General features: G+C 54.6%; 3 protein-coding genes across 78 annotated transcripts in view; 1 reads left to right on the top strand and 2 right to left on the bottom strand.

The window, feature by feature from the left end:
- Nucleotides 1-9,979, top strand: part of NUMA1 (nuclear mitotic apparatus protein 1) — a 77,679-nt gene extending 67,700 nt beyond the window's left edge. For 14 of the 52 annotated variants that reach the window (NR_104476.2, XM_047427023.1, XM_017017830.2 and 11 more), the window contains 11 exons: nt 1,989-2,057; nt 3,456-3,575; nt 3,658-3,876; nt 3,998-4,155; nt 5,408-5,654; nt 6,580-6,808; nt 7,474-7,610; nt 8,027-8,203; nt 8,502-8,618; nt 8,744-8,956; nt 9,305-9,979. Coding sequence is in view for 51 of the 52 variants with exons in the window: in XM_047427023.1 (XP_047282979.1) it covers nt 1,989-2,057; nt 3,456-3,575; nt 3,658-3,876; nt 3,998-4,155; nt 5,408-5,654; nt 6,580-6,808; nt 7,474-7,610; nt 8,027-8,203; nt 8,502-8,618; nt 8,744-8,956; nt 9,305-9,316 (1,698 nt within the window). In the remaining variant the exon portion in view is untranslated. Of the gene's footprint in view, nt 1-400; nt 443-1,988; nt 2,058-3,455; nt 3,576-3,657; nt 3,877-3,997; nt 4,156-4,697; nt 4,752-5,407; nt 5,655-6,579; nt 6,809-7,473; nt 7,611-8,026; nt 8,204-8,501; nt 8,619-8,743; nt 8,957-9,304 lie in introns of all 52 variants that reach the window. The other 38 variants (XM_047426995.1, XM_011545055.2, XM_011545057.3 and 35 more) reach the window with 3 other exon arrangements.
- IL18BP (interleukin 18 binding protein) lies at nt 4,643-13,934 on the bottom strand. 18 transcript variants are annotated; one of them, XM_047426203.1, is made up of 8 exons: nt 13,824-13,934; nt 13,181-13,615; nt 12,831-12,916; nt 12,286-12,492; nt 11,519-11,642; nt 11,291-11,438; nt 10,039-11,059; nt 4,643-7,298 (listed from the first exon to the last, which is right to left on the bottom strand). In XM_047426203.1, exons 3-7 carry the CDS (start codon nt 12,856-12,858, stop codon nt 10,982-10,984), a joined length of 585 nt encoding a protein of 194 aa, XP_047282159.1. In that variant the 5' UTR covers nt 12,859-12,916; nt 13,181-13,615; nt 13,824-13,934; the 3' UTR covers nt 4,643-7,298; nt 10,039-10,981. The 18 variants fall into 18 exon arrangements, with proteins under 18 accessions (XP_047282159.1, XP_047282162.1, XP_047282163.1 ...); XM_047426206.1 differs by having other exon boundaries at nt 13,473-13,615; XM_047426205.1 differs by lacking the exon at nt 4,643-7,298 and having other exon boundaries at nt 13,181-13,226; nt 13,473-13,615.
- The window catches only part of RNF121 (ring finger protein 121), a 68,552-nt gene continuing 65,134 nt past the window's right edge, over nt 15,246-18,663 (bottom strand). For 7 of the 8 annotated variants that reach the window (NR_024148.2, NR_024147.2, NM_018320.5 and 4 more), the window contains 3 exons: nt 17,991-18,124; nt 17,292-17,393; nt 15,246-16,648 (listed from right to left, as the gene is read on the bottom strand). Coding sequence is in view for 6 of the 8 variants with exons in the window: in NM_018320.5 (NP_060790.2) it covers nt 16,528-16,648; nt 17,292-17,393; nt 17,991-18,124 (357 nt within the window). In the remaining 2 variants the exon portion in view is untranslated. Of the gene's footprint in view, nt 16,649-17,291; nt 17,404-17,990; nt 18,125-18,663 lie in introns of all 8 variants that reach the window. The other variant, NM_001300926.2, reaches the window with a different exon arrangement.

Raw genomic sequence — 18,663 nt, 5'->3', positions numbered from 1 at the left:
GGACATCGATCCTCTGTGTCCAGGGCCTCTAGCTCCTACACTGGAGTGTCTTGCCTTTCCTCATTCACTGGGTGGCAGAAAAGGAGAGGTGGCTGGTGGAGTTCAAGTCTGTTGCCCCTGTCATCCTAAAGAAAATGTCAGTGGCCTCCCCTCCCCTGAAGGCTCTGTCACTAGAGAGTCAAGTTGTGATGACCACCAGCCTGTTCAGAGGCACACCTGCACTGGATGCCTCAGGAGCCACTGGGGATTAGAATCAGCCTAACTGGCATTTTTAAACTTACTGTCAATCTAGCTCCTTAGGGGAAAGTATCAGAGCCTCAGTGAGGTCAGCCTGGCAGCAGGGCTGGTGCTTCTTTGGCCTCATCTCACTCTGTCTCTGTTGCTCCTCCCCCATGTACAGGTGGAGCAGCTAGAGGTATTTCAGAGAGAGCAAACTAAGCAGGTAATGCCTGAGGTCCTCGCTAAATGCTGGCTGCTTAAACGGTGACCAGTCTTGGTGCATGAGCCCGGCTGCAGCTTGCCTCCGCCAGCTCCTGTTGTGAACTGTTTGTGAAGGGGGCAGGGTCAAGCCATGGAATCCAGGCCCAGGCTGCCCAGGAGTGTGGTGTGCTGGGCTCTCTCAGGCCTCATCCCACCCATCCCAGGTCGGCCTCTCCACCCTTCTGCACCTTCTCTCATTTGCCTATCAGGGACAAGGGGTAGCACTGGCTTCATCTTTCCCACCCTGAACCAATGACAGACACAATCCTTGGGATTCGAGAACTTCCCAAGTACTGTGTCTAGTTAAGGATACCCGACTAAGAGGAACAGCAGAATTACCGTGTCGGCCTTGTTTAACATGGTGTCCCTTTTTCCCAGAGTACAGCTTTATGGAAGCCTTGAAGGTGATATGCGAGGCAGCCCCCACAGGTTAGGGAGGATTGTGGGCTTAGGACACTTGCCCATCACTTTCTGGGGCTCTAACCCCGAGCACAGCATAGAGATGTCTGTAGCAGGAAGACCGAGGGTGAAGGAGCAGGAGGGGTCTATACCAGATGGGGGCGGGGGAGTGGGGGTCACATGGTCTGGCTGCCTCTTTCTCATGGGAATCATCTCTGTGTTGCCTGAGACATCGAGGCTATAGAGCTGGTGTTTCTGAGACATCGAGGCTATAGAGCACCCTTTCTCCATCACTCTCCTACCCAGCCACCCCAGGGCTGCTGAAAAATTGGGCCCTCCTCTAAGGAGCCTGTGATAGTGGGGGACAATCAAAGTGAATAGCAAACAGTTAGCAATGGAGCCCTTGCCTCTCCCCTGTGCTGCCTGGTCATGCTTGAACTCCCAGAATGCTTGGAGCAGCCAAGGGTGCATGGGGCTGTTATGTTCTCTCTTTTCCCCTACTCCCTGTGCTCTTCCTCTTTGTAGGAGTGGGGTGGGCTTTGGAGTACATGTGCTGCCCCTGCTCTTGTCTTCCAGCAATCTGTTCCCCAATGCTAACCACAGCAGCCATGCTGCTAGCACCAGCCCTAACGGCCTGTGGATGTTGGGAAGAGGTCTGAGCATCTGTGGGCTTGGGCTTTGGCAGTTTCTGGGAGGGAGGCATGGGAATTCATTGAGTATGTCTACTAGAATTACAGACTAGGTCCTGGGAAGGTTGCGGCTGCAGAGTGTGGCGGCAGCAAGGTGGTGGTGAGGTGTCGGCTCCCCAGAGTCAATTCTCCTGATTTTGGAGGTGACGGGGGTTGGGCAGGCCTCTGTCTCTGCAGGCTCAGGGTAGACGCAAGAACAGTTGGCCCTGGCAACATCTATGTGTTAGGTTGCCTCATTCAGGCCCTGCCAAGCAGCCTGGGCAGCAGGCTGTTCCGTAATTGGAGGCCAGAGAAAGGGCCTGAGTTTATTCTAGGAACACTGGGGATCCTGGTCTGGGAAACCCCATGATGGGTGGACATCCAGGATGAACATCCAGGGGAAGTCCTCCTGAGTCTTCTGTCCTCCTCTTCCCTCCCCAGGTGGAAGAACTGAGTAAGAAACTGGCTGACTCTGACCAAGCCAGCAAGGTGCAGCAGCAGAAGCTGAAGGTGGGGCAGCTGGGGGAATGGGTCTGGCCTCTGGACAAGGGAGGGAAGCTATTCTCTAAGCTCTGGGGCCGTGGGGGGTGTCGGGGCAGAAGAGGGGCACCCTGCATTCCAGGTAGCCCTCCTAGGAAGCCTGTGGCTTAGAAGCCCCTGCATGTGTCTTCTGGGAGCTCTCGAGAGACAACCAGGGTGGTTCCCATCTCTCAACTGTCACTGTCCACTTCAGCAGCTACTAGTCACGTGTGGTTATTGAAATTTATTAAAGTAAATCCAGTTCTTCAATCACACTAGCTACACTGTGCCCCTGTTCAGTAGCTACATGTGGTTAGTGGCTGCTGTATTGGACAGCGCAGATACAGAACATTCCACCATTGCATAAAGTTCTTTTGGACAATGTAAGTCTAGATAGTCTGGGCAGGGAAAGAACGAGAGTGTCACCAGTGTTGAATATTACAGTGCAGTTTAATAACATTCTTAATGCTTTCAACTGTGTCACCTTCTTTGGTTTAATACTTGCTTTTTGCAGTTCTAGGCTTCACAGCCTTCAGTCAGGGGCAAAGGAATTGGGCACCAGTGGCATTGGGACTCACTAAAGCCCTGGTGGCTCCTAGGAGTTGTTGGGAGCTCAGAGCTTCATTTCTCCTGCTCACCTTCATACCATGGTGCCACAGCATGTCTTGATTGCAATAAACAAATGTTTATTCTACTCCTTGTGGGGCCTGTCCTATGTTAGGAGAGGCAAAGGGGGGATGCTTCTATCTACAGCAAAGCACTTGTTGGCCTTGCAGATGGACAGAGAATCAGGCCCTGCTCTTAAGGAGTTATGGTCTGGACAGGAGGCAGTGTGGGCATCATAAATAAGCCCCCATGGGCTTTTGGAGTTAGGTGGACCAAATCTTACTCTGCCATTTAGTCACTGTTACTCTGGTCAATTTGCTTAAATCTCTGAACTCAGTTTCCTCCTCTGAAAAGAGGGTGAAGTGACTTCTCAGAGTGGCTTTGAGGAGAAACAAGTTCCCCTGTCCTAAGAGAGCTCACATGCCAAGTGCCTTAGAGTAAGGCTCTGCACCTGGGTGTTCCCTGAGGATTGGTTCCCTTCCTCCTACGGGAGATTGTGCATGCAAAGAGGGTGTGACACTTTGTGTCTGGTCTCAAAGAAGGCAAAGATAGGGCAGGAGCTGGTCAGGGAAAGGCCACTACGGATGTGGACTGAAGGGCATGTGGGCTTCAGGTTTAGTAGACTGTAGTCGGGCAGAGAGTATTTGGGGTGGTGTGGTTTTCTTCCGCTTCCTAAGAAAGTGCAGGAGTCTGAAGCACCTGTGGAGCCCCAGTGGCTGGTGCAGATAAGCGGACTTGGGTAGAGCGGCCAGACCAGCTTTCCTGAGTGGCCTTTCTTCTCAGGCTGTCCAGGCTCAGGGAGGCGAGAGCCAGCAGGAGGCCCAGCGCCTCCAGGCCCAGCTGAATGAACTGCAAGCCCAGTTGAGCCAGAAGGAGCAGGCAGCTGAGCACTATAAGCTGCAGGTAAGGAGCCCAGCCCCAGCCCATGCCACCTTCCTCCTGCCCTTCAACCTCTACCCCACCCACCCACCCTCTCTGCCCACAGATGGAGAAAGCCAAAACACATTATGATGCCAAGAAGCAGCAGAACCAAGAGCTGCAGGAGCAGCTGCGGAGCCTGGAGCAGCTGCAGAAGGAAAACAAAGAGCTGCGAGCTGAAGCTGAACGGCTGGGCCATGAGCTACAGCAGGCTGGGCTGAAGACCAAGGAGGCTGAACAGACCTGCCGCCACCTTACTGCCCAGGTGCGCAGCCTGGAGGCACAGGTAAGAATTTGGCTGGCAGACTCACCTCACTCCTATTCCACTGGACCCCTGTGCCCTCTCCTCCTAGGCCACTGCTGCCTTAGGCTTTTCTTCACTCTCCCCCTGGCCCTCTCCTTCTCAGGTTGCCCATGCAGACCAGCAGCTTCGAGACCTGGGCAAATTCCAGGTGGCAACTGATGCTTTAAAGAGCCGTGAGCCCCAGGCTAAGCCCCAGCTGGACTTGAGTATTGACAGCCTGGATCTGAGCTGCGAGGAGGGGACCCCACTCAGTATCACCAGGTCAGGAGGCAGCCTTCCTCCCTATGTCTGTTTATGGAGTGCCTGCTGTTTATCAGGCTGTATCCTAGTGAGATAAATAAGATGTGATCTAAATTTATTCTTAGAGAAGAATAACGAAAAACGGGTATTATACCAGATATCTATTTAGGGCACAGTTGGAATAAAAAGCAAGTGGTCAAGAAAGGCTTCGTGGAAGCTATCGCTCCTGCTGAGTCTTGAAAGCATCCATAGGTGTGTGTGCCAGGTTGACGAGAAGAGCAGTGTGAACAGAGGCTGTGAAAGAGCCTGACTAAGCTGAGATGTGAGGCCAGGAAGGCCCATTGGAGACCGACTATTAAGACTTGATCCTAAAGGCATTGAGGAAACCTTGGTGGCTGTAATTGAAAGGTTTAGGAGAAAAAAAAAGGAACCTTGGAAGAATTTGAAACTGAAGAGTACATGGTTAATTTGCATCTTAAAAAGATTATTCTAATAGCTAGTATAGAAGTTAAGACTGGAAAAATGTTTTTATTAAACACTTACATTTACTTATTTTGTGCTAGACATAAAGCACTCATGACAATTATACCTGATTTGTCCCCCAACAACCCTCTGAGGTAGGTTTATTCTGTCTCCTTTAACAGATGAATCTGGGGCATAGAGGGGCAGTCACTTGCCCAAGGTTCCCCAGTGGTAGAGCTGGGGTTTGACCCTGGGCAGCCTGGCCTGAGTTCTTGGCTTGTCACCACTCATCTTCCTCTGTCAGTGCCATGATGAGTCTAGGTGAGAGGAGATGAAGCAGACCAGGGAAAGGACATGAGCATGGAGTGGGGTGTGGTTAGGAGCTGTTCAGGAAGCTTGGTGATTGGGCTCGCCAAGCAGGACGACATTGGATTATGCCCACGTTCATGGCTTGGGGGCCTGAGTGGGGGGCGTTCCTATTCACTGAAATGGGAGATGCAGGAGGAAGAACAGAGAAGTGGGCTTAGATTGGGACGTGTTTGCTGTGAAGCAGCCATGGGCATCTGGTGGGGATGGGACATCTGGGTCTGGGCATTGCCACTATGAGGAGCTATTAGGAGAAGCCAGGGGAGTGGACTGAAAGGAAGGCCCAGGTCAAGTGCTTTCCTTGGTACCTCTGAAAAATCAGAGAGATGGGCTGCTTGACCTCATCTGCTTGTAGTAAGGATGGGAAATGGTCACTTTCAAAAAGGGCTGGACAAAATGCCTTCTAGCGTGAAGGACTGTACCTCAGCAGGTTTCCTTTCCATAGCAAGCTGCCTCGTACCCAGCCAGACGGCACCAGCGTCCCTGGAGAACCAGCCTCACCTATCTCCCAGCGCCTGCCCCCCAAGGTAGAATCCCTGGAGAGTCTCTACTTCACTCCCATCCCTGCTCGGAGTCAGGCCCCCCTGGAGAGCAGCCTGGACTCCCTGGGAGACGTCTTCCTGGACTCGGGTCGTAAGACCCGCTCCGCTCGTCGGCGCACCACGCAGATCATCAACATCACCATGACCAAGGTCAGGCTGCTGGGACAGGGGCTGCAGGGCAGCAATTCCCACTTCCTCTCAAGGGCATCTTTGCACTGGGCACTCAGTCAGGAGCAGGGAGGGATGAGCAGCCAGTCCATGTTACAGTGGGAAAGCTGAGAGGTCTTAAAAAGGGCAGTGACTTGGTTAAGGGCACTTCTGAAGAAAAAGGCAGGGCTAGGATTAGATCCCTGCCTCCTGACTAAGGCTAGCATTCTCTCCATGCGTAGCACTGAGCCTGTGCAGGGTGAAGGGAGAGAACGTGGCGAAGCTGCAGCCCATCCTGTGCCTCCCAGCATGCCCCATGCAGCTGAGAGGCATTGTTGCTGCCCAGTGGACTGCCTGACAGGCTACAGGCCCTTGCCTTTGTTTCCACATCTTGAAGGGGAGGTTTGGGAGGAGGGGAGAGGGGCCCCTGGTACAGCAGGGGGGACCTGTGTGTTTAGGGTGCCCCCTGCTACCAAGAAGTTGGGGAAGTTCTGGAACATGGTAAGGGCCCTGGAAGTTTGGACTGAGGGACAGCAGAGGCTGTGGGATGAGCCTGACTAGTCAGGAGACATGGGGCCTAGCCCCAGCTCTGATACTTCCTAGCAGTGTGATTTGGGGCTAGTCACTTTATTTCTTTGCACTTCATCTCCAAAATGGGCCGATAAACACTCTGCATTCCCTACCTCAAAGCATTATGAATAGACTCCATGAAAAAAATGCGTAGAAGAGTCTTGACAACATCAGCACCACCTTGTGAGGGCTTCTGTCGACAAGGCCCATTTCTTGCAGACACACACTTTAAGGACCTTTGCAAAGCAGTTGGGAATACATGGATGTGCCGTGGGATCTGAGGGCTTCGGAAGGGAATGGGAAGCTTCTGTACAGTGCCAGGGACTGTACACTGCAACAGATTCACTCTGTCTTCCAGAAGCTAGATGTGGAAGAGCCAGACAGCGCCAACTCATCGTTCTACAGCACGCGGTCTGCTCCTGCTTCCCAGGCTAGCCTGCGAGCCACCTCCTCTACTCAGTCTCTAGCTCGCCTGGGTTCTCCCGATTATGGCAACTCAGCCCTGCTCAGCTTGCCTGGCTACCGCCCCACCACTCGCAGTTCTGCTCGTCGTTCCCAGGCCGGGGTGTCCAGTGGGGCCCCTCCAGGTGAGGGGACTACAGGGACTTACTATACCCCAAAATTAGACTGGAAGGTGGATCGTGGCACAGGGAAAAGAGGAAAGCTTTTTAAAAATCCAAGGCTGGCCTCCTTGCTACCATCCAGCTCCACCTGCCCCTCCTTCCTGCAGCCTCAGGGCCTTCCTTACCTGCCCATCTAGGGGCTGGCTGTGTTGGGGGCACTCTTAGCCAGAGTTAAGGGCCCGGGATTCCCAGCACAATTGTGACACTTAGCTGTGGGGAGTCCTCCATGCCCTTCTCAGGCGGTGATGGGCTGCTGGAAAGGCCAGGCTGGCCAGACTCTTCTTGGAAGCTCTTGTCCTTTGGGCACCAGGGAGCCCCTGGGAATTAATTCCCGGTCCTTAATTTGTTCCTCTGGGTGTTGGCCACCAAGCCTTGGCAGGTGAGTAAGATGTAGTAGCAGTCTCTGCGTGTGACCTCTTCTGCCCTCTCCAGGGAGAAGGTGGTGAGCAAGCCCCTAGGATAGAAATAGTCTGTGTGCCGTACTCCTGCACCTGCGGCACTGAATCAGACTGGTGTGCTGGGCTTCAAGTTTATGGGGTAGGTGGCAGCAAAGGCTGGCAAGATGCCAGGGCCAGGAGGTGACCTGCCGACTCCAGGCTCATTTGTTCCCACTTCCCTGCCTTCCACAGGAAGGAACAGCTTCTACATGGGCACTTGCCAGGATGAGCCTGAGCAGCTGGATGACTGGAACCGCATTGCAGAGCTGCAGCAGCGCAATCGAGTGTGCCCCCCACATCTGAAGACCTGCTATCCCCTGGAGTCCAGGGTGAGGCCTGGGGTCACTGTGCAGGGCCTCCCATCCCTGCCCTCCCTTGGAATCCCACCTGCTGATCTAGCCTGAGCACTAGGGCCCTGGATCACTGACTGGCCGAGGAGGGGGAGGGTGACCTTCTCATGTTTCCAGGTGGAACAGACAGCTGGGAGGGCACTCAGGGGTGAAGTCCCTTGGGGTAGGCAGGAGCTCAGAGAGGAATCTGGTCAGGACTGCACTGCTTGTGGCCATTTGCCCAGGGCTTAGGTAGAAAGCAGAACAGGAAAGGAGGCCTTGTGTCTTTCTACCTCGTGAGGCAGGAAGGGTCCCGACCATAAGTGTCGGGCGAGTGTAGAGTTCTGGGACAGCCCCAGGTCCTCCTCCATCTCCATACAGCTATGGTCCACTGACCACCTCTTCCACCCATGCAGCCTTCCCTGAGCCTGGGCACCATCACAGATGAGGAGATGAAAACTGGAGACCCCCAAGAGACCCTGCGCCGAGCCAGCATGCAGCCAATCCAGATAGCCGAGGGCACTGGCATCACCACCCGGCAGCAGCGCAAACGGGTCTCCCTAGAGCCCCACCAGGGCCCTGGAACTCCTGAGGTAGGCGCGGTGGCTCCTGGGTGTTACTCCAGCACTGTGCTCAGGTCAGGCCCAGCTCACCAAGGACTAAAGGGAGCCTTCTCTCTCCTTCCCTCACTTCCCCCTCTCTTTCCCTCTCTCCAAGGGCCTGACCCATGGATGGGAACTGTTGGGAAGGGAAGGATCTGGCCCAGAGTTGGGAAGGGGAGCAGGTTGCACGTTGACTTACAAGGTCCACTCAGCTCTGAGAGGACAAGACACCTGGCTTCAGATGTGACTCCTCTTGCTACTGTCTGCCTAACTGTCCTCTTCTCCATAGTCTAAGAAGGCCACCAGCTGTTTCCCACGCCCCATGACTCCCCGAGACCGACATGAAGGGCGCAAACAGAGCACTACTGAGGCCCAGAAGAAAGCAGCTCCAGCTTCTACTAAACAGGTGAGGCTGGGGCTGAAGGGGGATGAAGCGACGCCCTGGCGGGACCTTGCTGATAGAGCGTGGCACAGCACGCTGGCCTGGGAAGGCAGCATTGGGTCTCCCGGTCTGACAGCCCTTCCTTGCAGGCTGACCGGCGCCAGTCGATGGCCTTCAGCATCCTCAACACACCCAAGAAGCTAGGGAACAGCCTTCTGCGGCGGGGAGCCTCAAAGAAGGCCCTGTCCAAGGCTTCCCCCAACACTCGCAGTGGAACCCGCCGTTCTCCGCGCATTGCCACCACCACAGCCAGCGCCGCCACTGCTGCCGCCATTGGTGCCACCCCTCGAGCCAAGGGCAAGGTAGAGGCACTGGCAGGATGGGGGAGGGAAACCCGATGAGAGCATGGGCACCCCCCAGACCGCCCCACCAAGTAGCATCCAAGATGGGGCCACGCCAGGCTGCTGGAGGGTGTGGGGTAAGAGGTGTCCCTGTCCTGGTAGCTCCTCTCCAAGGAGAGAAGACAGATGGCCCCATTCTCATGGAGAGCACCCAGAGCTGCTCAGGCACAGCCAGCAACTGATAACCCTGGGGCTCACAAGGGAGGGGATCCAGACAGGGGCGTGGGAGCAGGAAGAGATCTTCCCAGCCAGTGGGTGCAGGCTAGTATCGCAAGTTCTCATCTGGCCATGTGACTGTGTCTCTTTCAGGCAAAGCACTAAAGGGCCAGTACCAGTGAGTGGCCCCACCTGTGTCCCCGATGCTGACCTCACCTGGTCCTCCGCCTACTGTCCCTCTCAGTGCCTTCTCTCAGCTCCCAGGCCAACAGTAGCCAAACCCCTAGAGACAGTGATGCCTGCCCGCACCCTGGCCTGGTCCCTGGTCCTTCACTGGCGCCTTCTCGGAGCTGGCCCAGGGGGCCTGGAGCATGGACAGTGTGGGCGCTCTCCCTACCTTGCCTCCTTTTTTCTTAAAGCAAAGTCACTTCTCCATCACAACCAGATTTGAGGCTGGTTTTGATGGCTGGGTCCTTGGGCCTGGCCAGTCTTCCTCTTAGCCTCTGGATCTAGAAGGGACCATAAGAGGAGTAGGCCCTGGTTCCTGCTGTCCTGGTGGCTGGGCCCAGCAGGGGCCCTCACTCTTGAAGTCCAGGACTGGGTCTGACCTGGTGGGAGCACCTGCCAGAGGATGCTCTTTCCCAGGACGGATGGGCCCTATGTCTCAGGAGTGGGGTTGGGGGACAGCCTTCAGCAGCAGCTCACACCCTACCTTCCCCAGACTTGCACTGGGGTGGGATTTGGAGTGATGGGAAGGTTTTTAAGGGCCGGGGATGGATCTTTTCTAAATGTTATTACTTGTAAATAAAGTCTATTTTTCTCCCGTGAGTACTGAGTTGACTTGATCGGTGTGGGAAAAAGAGGAATATAGGCTCTTTGAAGCCTACCTTGTTCCTGCTGAGTCTTCCATACCACCTCCTTTCTCTCATCCCTTTTCCTGAGGCCACATCTTTCCAGGCTCTTCCCACTCTCCATTAGTGGCCTCTGCTCCCGGGGAGCATTATGGGCTGTTCTCTCTTTTCTTTTTCAAGCGCCTGTGTTCCCCTGAAGCAGGTGTTGTCTTCAGCTTCTGTGTGGCAGTCCCTCTCTCCCATACTCCCTCGTGGGACAGGCAAAGTTCCTGGGAGTGGAACTGAAGCCTAAATGAACAGATGTCAGGATGCCTCCATTGAATAATCCTTTATGAGGACCCATGTGGGGATGACACAGATACAGTGTGGATCCGAAGCAGCTGCTGCCCCCATCCCTTCCCTGGAACAGTCCATTAGAGTGAAGGGGGAAAAAAAAAACATACAGCACGAAGATAGGAAGTCTGCAGAATGCGGCCAGAGCTGAAAGAGGATGACTTCACTGAAGAGGCAGCATTTCAACCAGGCTTGAGCGTTCCCCTGCTGGGGCGGTGAGGAAGACGGGACTAAATGAGCAGAGACATGGGAGTGGGAGCTGTCTGGGAAAAGCAAGAATAGTTGGGAGGCTTCCAGAAAGTCATGTGGGAAATGCAGGTAGGGCCCTGGAGTGCAAGGCTAAGGCATCAACAGTCTTGGTGGTTTCTGAGCAGTAGAGCAGTGTGAGGAGTAGGACGTTAGGAAGGCTAATGGATAGGTGGAGAGAGAATGGCAGGAGGAGGAGGCATTATAAGGAGGCTGTGATTTTCTAGGTAGGTGGGAATGGAGTTTGAATTTGGTGAGAGAAGGGACCCAAAGCAGAGAAGGAGGGGGTGTGTTGCGCATCCACGCAGCCTACAGGCAGTCAGGGACTGTTCACTCCAGGTAGACAGGTAGGACCCAAGCTCTGGTCAAGGTTGTGCTGCTGCTGGCCCTGTGCTGAGTCTTAACCCTGCTGCTGTGGACTGCTGTGGCTGGAGGGCAGGGCTTCTTGGGTGGGGGGCAAGGTTGCCCTCAGCCCAGCCTAGGGAAGTGAAGGCAGACAAGGATCAGGCCAAGGAAAGGAGGGACATCTCATCACTTTGCCCCAGGCTACACCTCCTCTGCCCAAGACCTAAGTTCCTTTTTGTCTGGCTGACCTTGAGGAATGCTGGGCATTAGTTCACAGGCTGCTCTGGCAGAGCCCACCCTTTCCTCCCCACATATGGAAGCAGAGCTCCTCCTGTTCCTGGAGGCCTCTCCTTGGGCTCCTCACCCAGAGCTGGGCCAGGACGACGTGACGCTGGACAACCTGTTCAGGGTCCACGAGCACACAGGAGAAGTTGGTGCTGTGCAGGGCAGGGGTCAGCTGCTCCAGCACCAAGGCCTTGCACAGCTGCGTACCTGTGCTCCCACGTTCCCGGCTGGAGCGGAAGGGAAGGAAAGGTCATGAGAAGGCCGCAGAAGGCCTCCTTCCCACCCACCTGGCTGCTGCGACCCTCACCTGGTGCTCCCCTCCCACAGTCGGCCTGGGAGGTGCTCAATGAAGGAACCATTGCCCAGCCAGTAGAGGATGCTGAAGTTGGGGAAGCGGCTGCAGGCCACACAGGATAAGCTCAGCGTTCCATCTAGGGACACAGGCAGCAGTTAGCTCTTCAGAAGAGCAGGCCCTTCCCCTACCCTGCTCTGCTGTGCCCTCCCTGCCAGCTCCCCCCAGTCCCCATGCATCTGGAACCTAGAGAACTGCTCTGCACACCACCTAGGTGGGAACGTCCGTTACAGAAGTGCAGTTGTCTCCGAGAGGCCCTAGCCCTAAACACGGGGAATGTGAGGAATGGTCCTTGGTTCACGTGATGAATCCTCTTCTGAACCTGTCTCCTCAGGATGACCTTTTCTAGTGCCCAGCCTCGGTGACTTGGGAGCCCAGGTGACAAAGGCAGTGCTGGATGGCTGCTGCTCCTCTGAGATGGCCAGAGGCCAGCAGGCTCTGGGTGGAGGGGCTGGCCTTGGGGTCCACTGCAACCAAGGCTCTGGGAGGTCCTGTGACCATTACTTATGTCTTGAGTTCTCTGTCCTATTTGATAGGGAGCATCTTGGGAGCTGCGCCAAGCCTGCACCCATGACACTGGGTTGGGGAGGGAGAATGGTGCGTGCTCAGCCCAGCTGGCTCAGCTGGTGGTACATGGGCAGAAGGGGACTGGCGCTCAGGAGTCAACCCGACCCTGGGAACCTCTGTGCCCATAGCCCACCCTCCACCACTGTGCTTCTTACTCAGTGGCACTTCCACCTCTGGCCAGGTCACTTCCAATGCTGGACACTGCTTAGCTGCTGGGAACACTGGGGGCTGGGAGGGGCAGGGGTCCTTTGTGCTTCTAACTGAGGCAGTGGCAGCTGTGGTGGTCTGCGAGACAGGTGTGGCTCTGACCAGGAGAGTGACGACGTGGGCACACAGGAGCAGGACCCACAAAGGGCTGAGGTCTGAGGAAAGGACAGTTACAGGTCAGCGGCTCTGGAGACAGAGTGGGCTGCCCGGGTAAGGATGTAACTCCAGCCCAGAGATGTCTGGGTTCTAGCCAGGGAATCAGAGCGGGAAGAGGGACCCCTCAGCACCCACCCCTTAGCCCTTTATTGAACAGAGTACAGAGAAGCTTTAGACTGGAGCCAGAGCTACAATATCTGCCCAGGTTCTTAAAGCAACAGCACCAGGTGCGCTGGGTGGTTTGCCTTGGAGTGAAGGCTCCGGGTTAGCCCATTGCTCCATTCTGTTCATAGACCTCACCCTACCCCGCCTGCCCATGCGTAGCCCCAAGGCCTACCTGGTGTCCAGTTGTGTCTCATGGTCATGATGCATGCGTCAGGAGCTGGTGAGCCTGGCTCTTTATCTGTGACAACGTCCTCTTCTCTGGTGAAAGGTGGGGGAGGAGAATGGTAAACCACTCCCGCTTTTTCTCAGTAGCTGGCTTTTCCTCAGTAGCTGGCTTCTCCTCCCGTAGCATAGCCTGGAGCTCTTTCAGCACTTAGAAACAGAGCTGGGGGGGTCAAGTGACAATCCTTCCCCACCCCAGCTCTCATGACCACAAATGGTTGTAAGATGCTTACCTAGTCCAATCTTACCCCTTCATTAGGGAAGGCAAAATTGAGACCCAAAGAGAGAATATGGACTCACCCAGTCACACAGGGAGGCAGTGCTCTCTTCAGCACCAGAGCTGCTTCTGGGAAGGGCAGGATGCCGAGCAATCCTTCTGGGAAAGCACTGCCCCGACCCTCTATTTCACTTTCACTTTTTAACCAGGGAATCTTGAGCAGCTGTGACACCTCTGCTTTAGCCAAAGTTCAGTGGCCAGAAACCTTCAGCTCCTGGGACTCCTACTCTCCAGAGGATACCAGACTGGGATCTCTAATCTACCCCCATGCCACCCCCAGGGTCACCTAGGGTATGAACTAGATGAGTCTCTCACAGATCAATTCTGTCCCGCCCAAGTGTCAGGACTTTGGTGTCCGCCTCCCCTCTTCACAGCCAGGTCTTTGTTTCCATATGAACAGGCATCTGCTTCCTCCTTCACCTTCACACTGACATTCAAGGGGACAACTTTCCTAGGCACTGGGGAACCCCAAGTTGGACCACTTCAGGCTCAATGCCATACCAGTCCGTCCACATCCTGGCCTTTCCCAGGCTACCCACTCCCCCAGCCACCAGCCCCAAGGTCGGCTACATCTCCCAGCACCCACCATCACACCCTCTGTCTCTCATCCTAGCCCCTCTGGCCAGAGCCACAGGTCTAGGTTCACTAGTAGTCCCAGACTCCTACCTGGCTCCTAAGAGGTCCTGAAGAGCCTTCCTTTCCAGAAGCTTCCCTCTAGGAGCTCCAAGACTCAAGTTAGCTGTGTCTAGCTGCGTGTGAACCCACCACAGGAAATACACCGAGAGCACTTCCTCCTTGTCTGTAGAACTCTCACGGCCAACCCAGGAACTGGCACACAAGCTCGAGAGCCAACCCTAACAGGAGGGAAGGGCAGGCACTTCCCGGGGAAGAGGCGGACTGGCTCAACACTGGCTCTGGCAACAGAGTCTACATCAGAATATGAATCTTGTCACTGATGGGACAAATGGCGCTGGGGCTGCGGGAGGGCCAGGATTCAGGGTGAGGCGTGTGAGGAACCTAGGATGCTAAATCTAAGGAGGTTTTCTCTCAGGGTCATGCAGTTATCCATGGAGGCAGAAAGACCAGGGCTGGGTGATCCAATGCATGCATATATTAAGTGTGGACAGGAGCTGCATGTCTGAGGTTTGTGACTCCTGTGATTGGGAGGGTGCAACGGCTGGTGACAGAGCCAGGGAGGCCCACAGATGGAACTGGGTTTGGTGGATGCATCAGGAACACAGTCAGCTGTGATCTCAAACTTCTTGTAGAAAAACCAGATTCATATTCCTAATTTAGACATAGGATACTACAAGTCACATCCTTCTTCTCTAGGTGTCTAGTTCATGTTTTTCCTCCTCTCAATTCCTCCCCCTACCTCCTGCCCCAGGGGCTTCTAGCATGTAAGATGCAGGAGAAATTCCTCCCAAGAACACCAGCATCTCCAGGAGTTAGGTCAGGAGGCAAGGCTGCCTGGGGTTTCTGAGAGAGACAGTCCAGTGGGGGATGGTAGGGAAAGATGACAGGACTCTGTCTTAGTGGAACCGAGACCAGAGTCAGGCCAAGGGGGGAGGTCAAGGGACTCAGAACTGTTACACATGAAAAGAGCTTTGGACAGCCTGGCCTCGGCTTCTCACCTGAGCCTGACAGGGGGGTGGGGGGAAAAAGTAAAAGGAAGGGTGATCCCTAGGTCCTCTGACCAGCCCCATTCCCCTCTCTGAGGAGGGGAACAGCCCCACAGGTGGCATAAGCAGCAGGGTACCATGGGAAGCCACAGCTGGGGAAGAGAAGCCGAGCCTGAGTGTGGTCCTCAGGAAGGCAGGTGGTGGCGGGACACTGTCCTCAGGCAGTGAGAACATAGAGCAACCTCAGTCTGAAGGCAGGCCCAATGATGCCCCAGGCCCCCAGGCCACAGGACAGGAGCCTGGCATTCCACCACTCCTAGGGATGTCAGCAGGGGAACAGCTGGGAACAGCAGAAAGGCAGGCCCAACCACCCCCAGACCCTCAGGTCTCCGATGGGGGTTAACAAAGGCAAGACACCCCTGGGGACCCCAGGGAAAGAGGTGGGAAGAAGAAAGCAAGATAAATGTTCAGCTTTCCAACCCAGCTCATGGAGCTTTATTCAGACGGGAGTGACAACATCCTGCTTCGTTCTTGCTGCCCTTGAAGGGGCAGGCCCTACTGAGCCATATTCCCTAGAAACCCAATGCCGAAGGCCCATGTTTGACCTCCCACTTTATTCAAGTCGCCTAGGACTAGGGCTGGGGCCTTCCTAGAAGCCCCCTCTCAGAACCTGTTCTCACCCACCCACCACTCCCGTTGTCAGGCCCAGGGAGGACCCATGAATGACAAAAATCATGTAGGGATATTCCCTGGACTGGGAATCCCCTGCCAGCTTCAAGGACATATCATCTGACACAGGGAGAAGCTGACATCTGTCATATTCTTCTGCCTCACGTACACACACACACACACACACACACGCATACGCACTCTTAGGCTTTCAAGAAGGAAGTGATGTGGCAGAGTGACCGCTGGCACGTGTCACCACTCCACTGAAGGATCCACTGAAGAATGAGCTTGCACAAGGGGCCGTCAGTCATGGCTGCCAACAATTGCCCCATGGCCCAACTATATGACCTCTATTCTTGGCTGACCACAGCCCTGCCCACGGGCGAGTATCCATGGTGCTGATTCTTCCAGTTGTCCCAAAACAAATCTTCAATGAATTCTGAGGCCCCAAGGCTTCCCTTGTTGGCCAAGTCACTGATAAGGTTCCACTTGCCTCAACCAGCCTATAGCTCTTGGACAGGGGGAGACAGAGTCAGACGCAACACCTGTCCTGTGTCCCAGACAGTGGGGGAGGGAGGACACCTGGGGCCTCAGTGCTCACCCGTGGCACAAGCCTGAGTACGTTAGCTCTTCTATACTAAGTGCACCAGGCTTGAGCCCCACACAGGGAAGAAGGGAGTGGGTGGGCTGAGGCCTTCAGCTACCTGGGAGCCCAGCAGTGTTCTCGGCCAGAGATGAGAAGGCTCCTTTAAACCAAAAATGTCATGGCTCTGCCCCCACCCTGCTTAGGCAGGGAGGGTGAAGCCTGGAGGGGGGCAATTCCTATGCTCCACAATAAAAAAAGGTTTTTTAAATATATTCATCAAAATAGTTTTCTTTTAAAAAGCCCCCCACTGCTGACAGCCCCACTGGCTGGCTCTCCATCATATCCCTCCCCAGTCCGACACAGCCAGAGGGGTCCTGAGTGGCCCAAGCACCCCTTTGAGTCTTTCCCACCCAGGAGGTCTTTGTGGGCAGGGAGGAGAGTGCCCTGAGGTCCATGGCGTGTGGGGTGGGTTTTCCACTGATGCTCTTCATCACTATTCCAGGCCCAGGATGTAGTTGATGCCTTGGACTACACCAATGATGACAGGCTGCCAGGCTACCAAGTATCGAAGCCAGTCCAGCAGTTGCCCATACATGACGTGAGGCCTCTCCCAGCTGTCAGTGTGTTAAAGAAAAGAGACTCTGTGCAAGAGCTGCCAGGAGTGATCTAGCATGGGTGGTGGGGCTCCCTGGGTCTGCCCCACTTTCCAGCTGCTCCACAGCCTAGAGGAATGGAGGCTGCTTTCTGGAAGGGCCCAGCCTCACTTCCTACTCAGGCAGCCCTCCCAACTTTGCCCTCCCCCTCCTCTTCCTCCTCACAGCCTGTCTGTTGGGGTAAAGAGCTGAATGCAGAGAAGGTGGGAGGCAGATAGAGGGGACTGGTACTGGAGGCAGGGCAGCCCTGAGAGAGGTATAGAGATAAATCCTAGTTCCCCATGACTAACATGCAGGGAGGGCCTCCTGTAACACCTTCTCTAAGAAGGAACTGCCAGTGTAAGATAACACAGCCTGAGGCTGACACAAGTCTATCTATCCGTGACAATGGCTGCAAGGAGGCTGAGAATAGGCAATAATCCTAGAATAGGGAAACTGGGGTTGTATCATGGGGGCAGGACTAGCAGCTCAGCTTCCCACCATGGTTTGACATGTTCTGGTTGGGGGCAGAAGTGAGGGCCCCAGGAGGACCCAAATGCAGGTCACACTGGCCAGTACTTTCTTCCCACAGCCCACTCCCAACAACGACCCCAATAAAGGATACGGATTGCTGAACATCCTCTTGAGGTCTACCTTCTCTTTGCAGTAGGGACACGTTTGCTTCTTTCCCACGATGCACCAGCCACGGATGCAGAACTCGTGGAAGCTGAGCACCGCTGGTCAAGGGAAATGGTGAGAGCCAGGGCGGCACTCCAGCCCCAGACAGTCTTTGAAAGGTTCAAATCCTGCCTTCGCTCTTTATCAGCTCTGTAATGTTGGGCAAGTCCCTGTGTCTGAACCTGTTTCCTCACATGTGAAGTAAGGATAATGATCCCTATCTCACAAGACTGTTATGGGGCAAAATGGAGACAATACATGGCTTTCCCAACATAGGCAGAGAATGGGAGCTGGGTAAATACATGATAAATATTACAAGTGTTATTCAGAACAGAGGATGATGCTAAACTGAGGGATCCCATTAGAGGGTCCTCTTCCCCTGTGACTGGTCAGATCTCAGGTCTGCTAGCACAGCCTCACTAGCTGCAGCCTCAGGTTCCTCTCAGACCCAGCCAGGTTGTAACCACTGTTTACCTAAGAGTGGCTCTGATCTGTGGGAAAGGGTAGGGAAGGTGGCCCTCTTGTGGCTCTCCTACACTCAAGGGTCTGGACAGCATGCCTAGGGTCATGACCACCCTCTTTCTCTCTCTCACTACAGTGTGCAGATTGCAGGAGAGATGTGGCCCAGGAGCTCGAGGCAGGATACACATGATTGCAGGACAGCCTATACGTGTTCTCAATGATCCCCTCTTCACTGACGTCCACAAAGATCTGCTGCCCACACACAGCACACACACTGTCTGAAAGATGTTTGGTAGGCATGCCCGACTCGCTGTAGAACTGAAGGAGAATAGCAGGAAGGAAAGATAGGAAAAGATGTGAGAAGCAGCCAAAGTAGGAAGCTCCACAGAGACCTCAGGCCTTCTAGAGAAGAGGCACAGTGGCAGCGGGAGGCCCAGAGTTAGAGGACATCTTTTTTTTTTTAAACTGTTTAGAAAAGGTAATCTTTTACAAGTCAAATCGACCTCATCTTTGCTGGGCAGATGGGGAGAAGTGACCAGACTAGAGACAGTTGGGAAGTTAGATGTAACAGAACCTATAAACTGGGCTGGATCAGCACCAAAGGATAAGGGGAAGGGGAGGGAGAAGGACTTGGGGCTGGTGATCAAAAGCTGTGTCAGGCAAGCCATTCTGTCGCCAGACTATGGTTCCACCAGAAATGGACAACAATATTCTCCAACATTTAAAACAGTGAAATATTAAGTGCCATGTTGGTTTGGTGACAAGGGCATTCTCAGACATTTGTGGCAGCAGCAAAAGGGGTTCAAGCCTTTCAGATAGGATTTAGCATGGTATCTCAAATTGTTGCACCTTTTGAC

This window comes from Homo sapiens, chromosome 11 (genome assembly GCF_000001405.40).
Source record: "Homo sapiens chromosome 11, GRCh38.p14 Primary Assembly".
Classification (NCBI taxonomy): Eukaryota; Metazoa; Chordata; class Mammalia; order Primates; family Hominidae; genus Homo; species Homo sapiens.
This window is presented reverse-complemented; position numbering and strand designations above follow the sequence as displayed.

Excerpts from the sequence above, each read along its gene's own strand:
- IL18BP (NM_005699.3), bottom strand. The coding sequence starts at position 12,858 with ATGACCATGAGACACAACTGGACACCAG. Across the intron at positions 12,493-12,830 it reads GAGACACAACTGGACACCAG|ACCTCAGCCCTTTGTGGGTC; the intron begins GTAGGCCTTGGG and ends TCCTTTCCTCAG. Across the intron at positions 11,439-11,518 it reads CTGTGGGAGGGGAGCACCAG|CCGGGAACGTGGGAGCACAG; the intron begins GTGAGGGTCGCA and ends CTTCCGCTCCAG.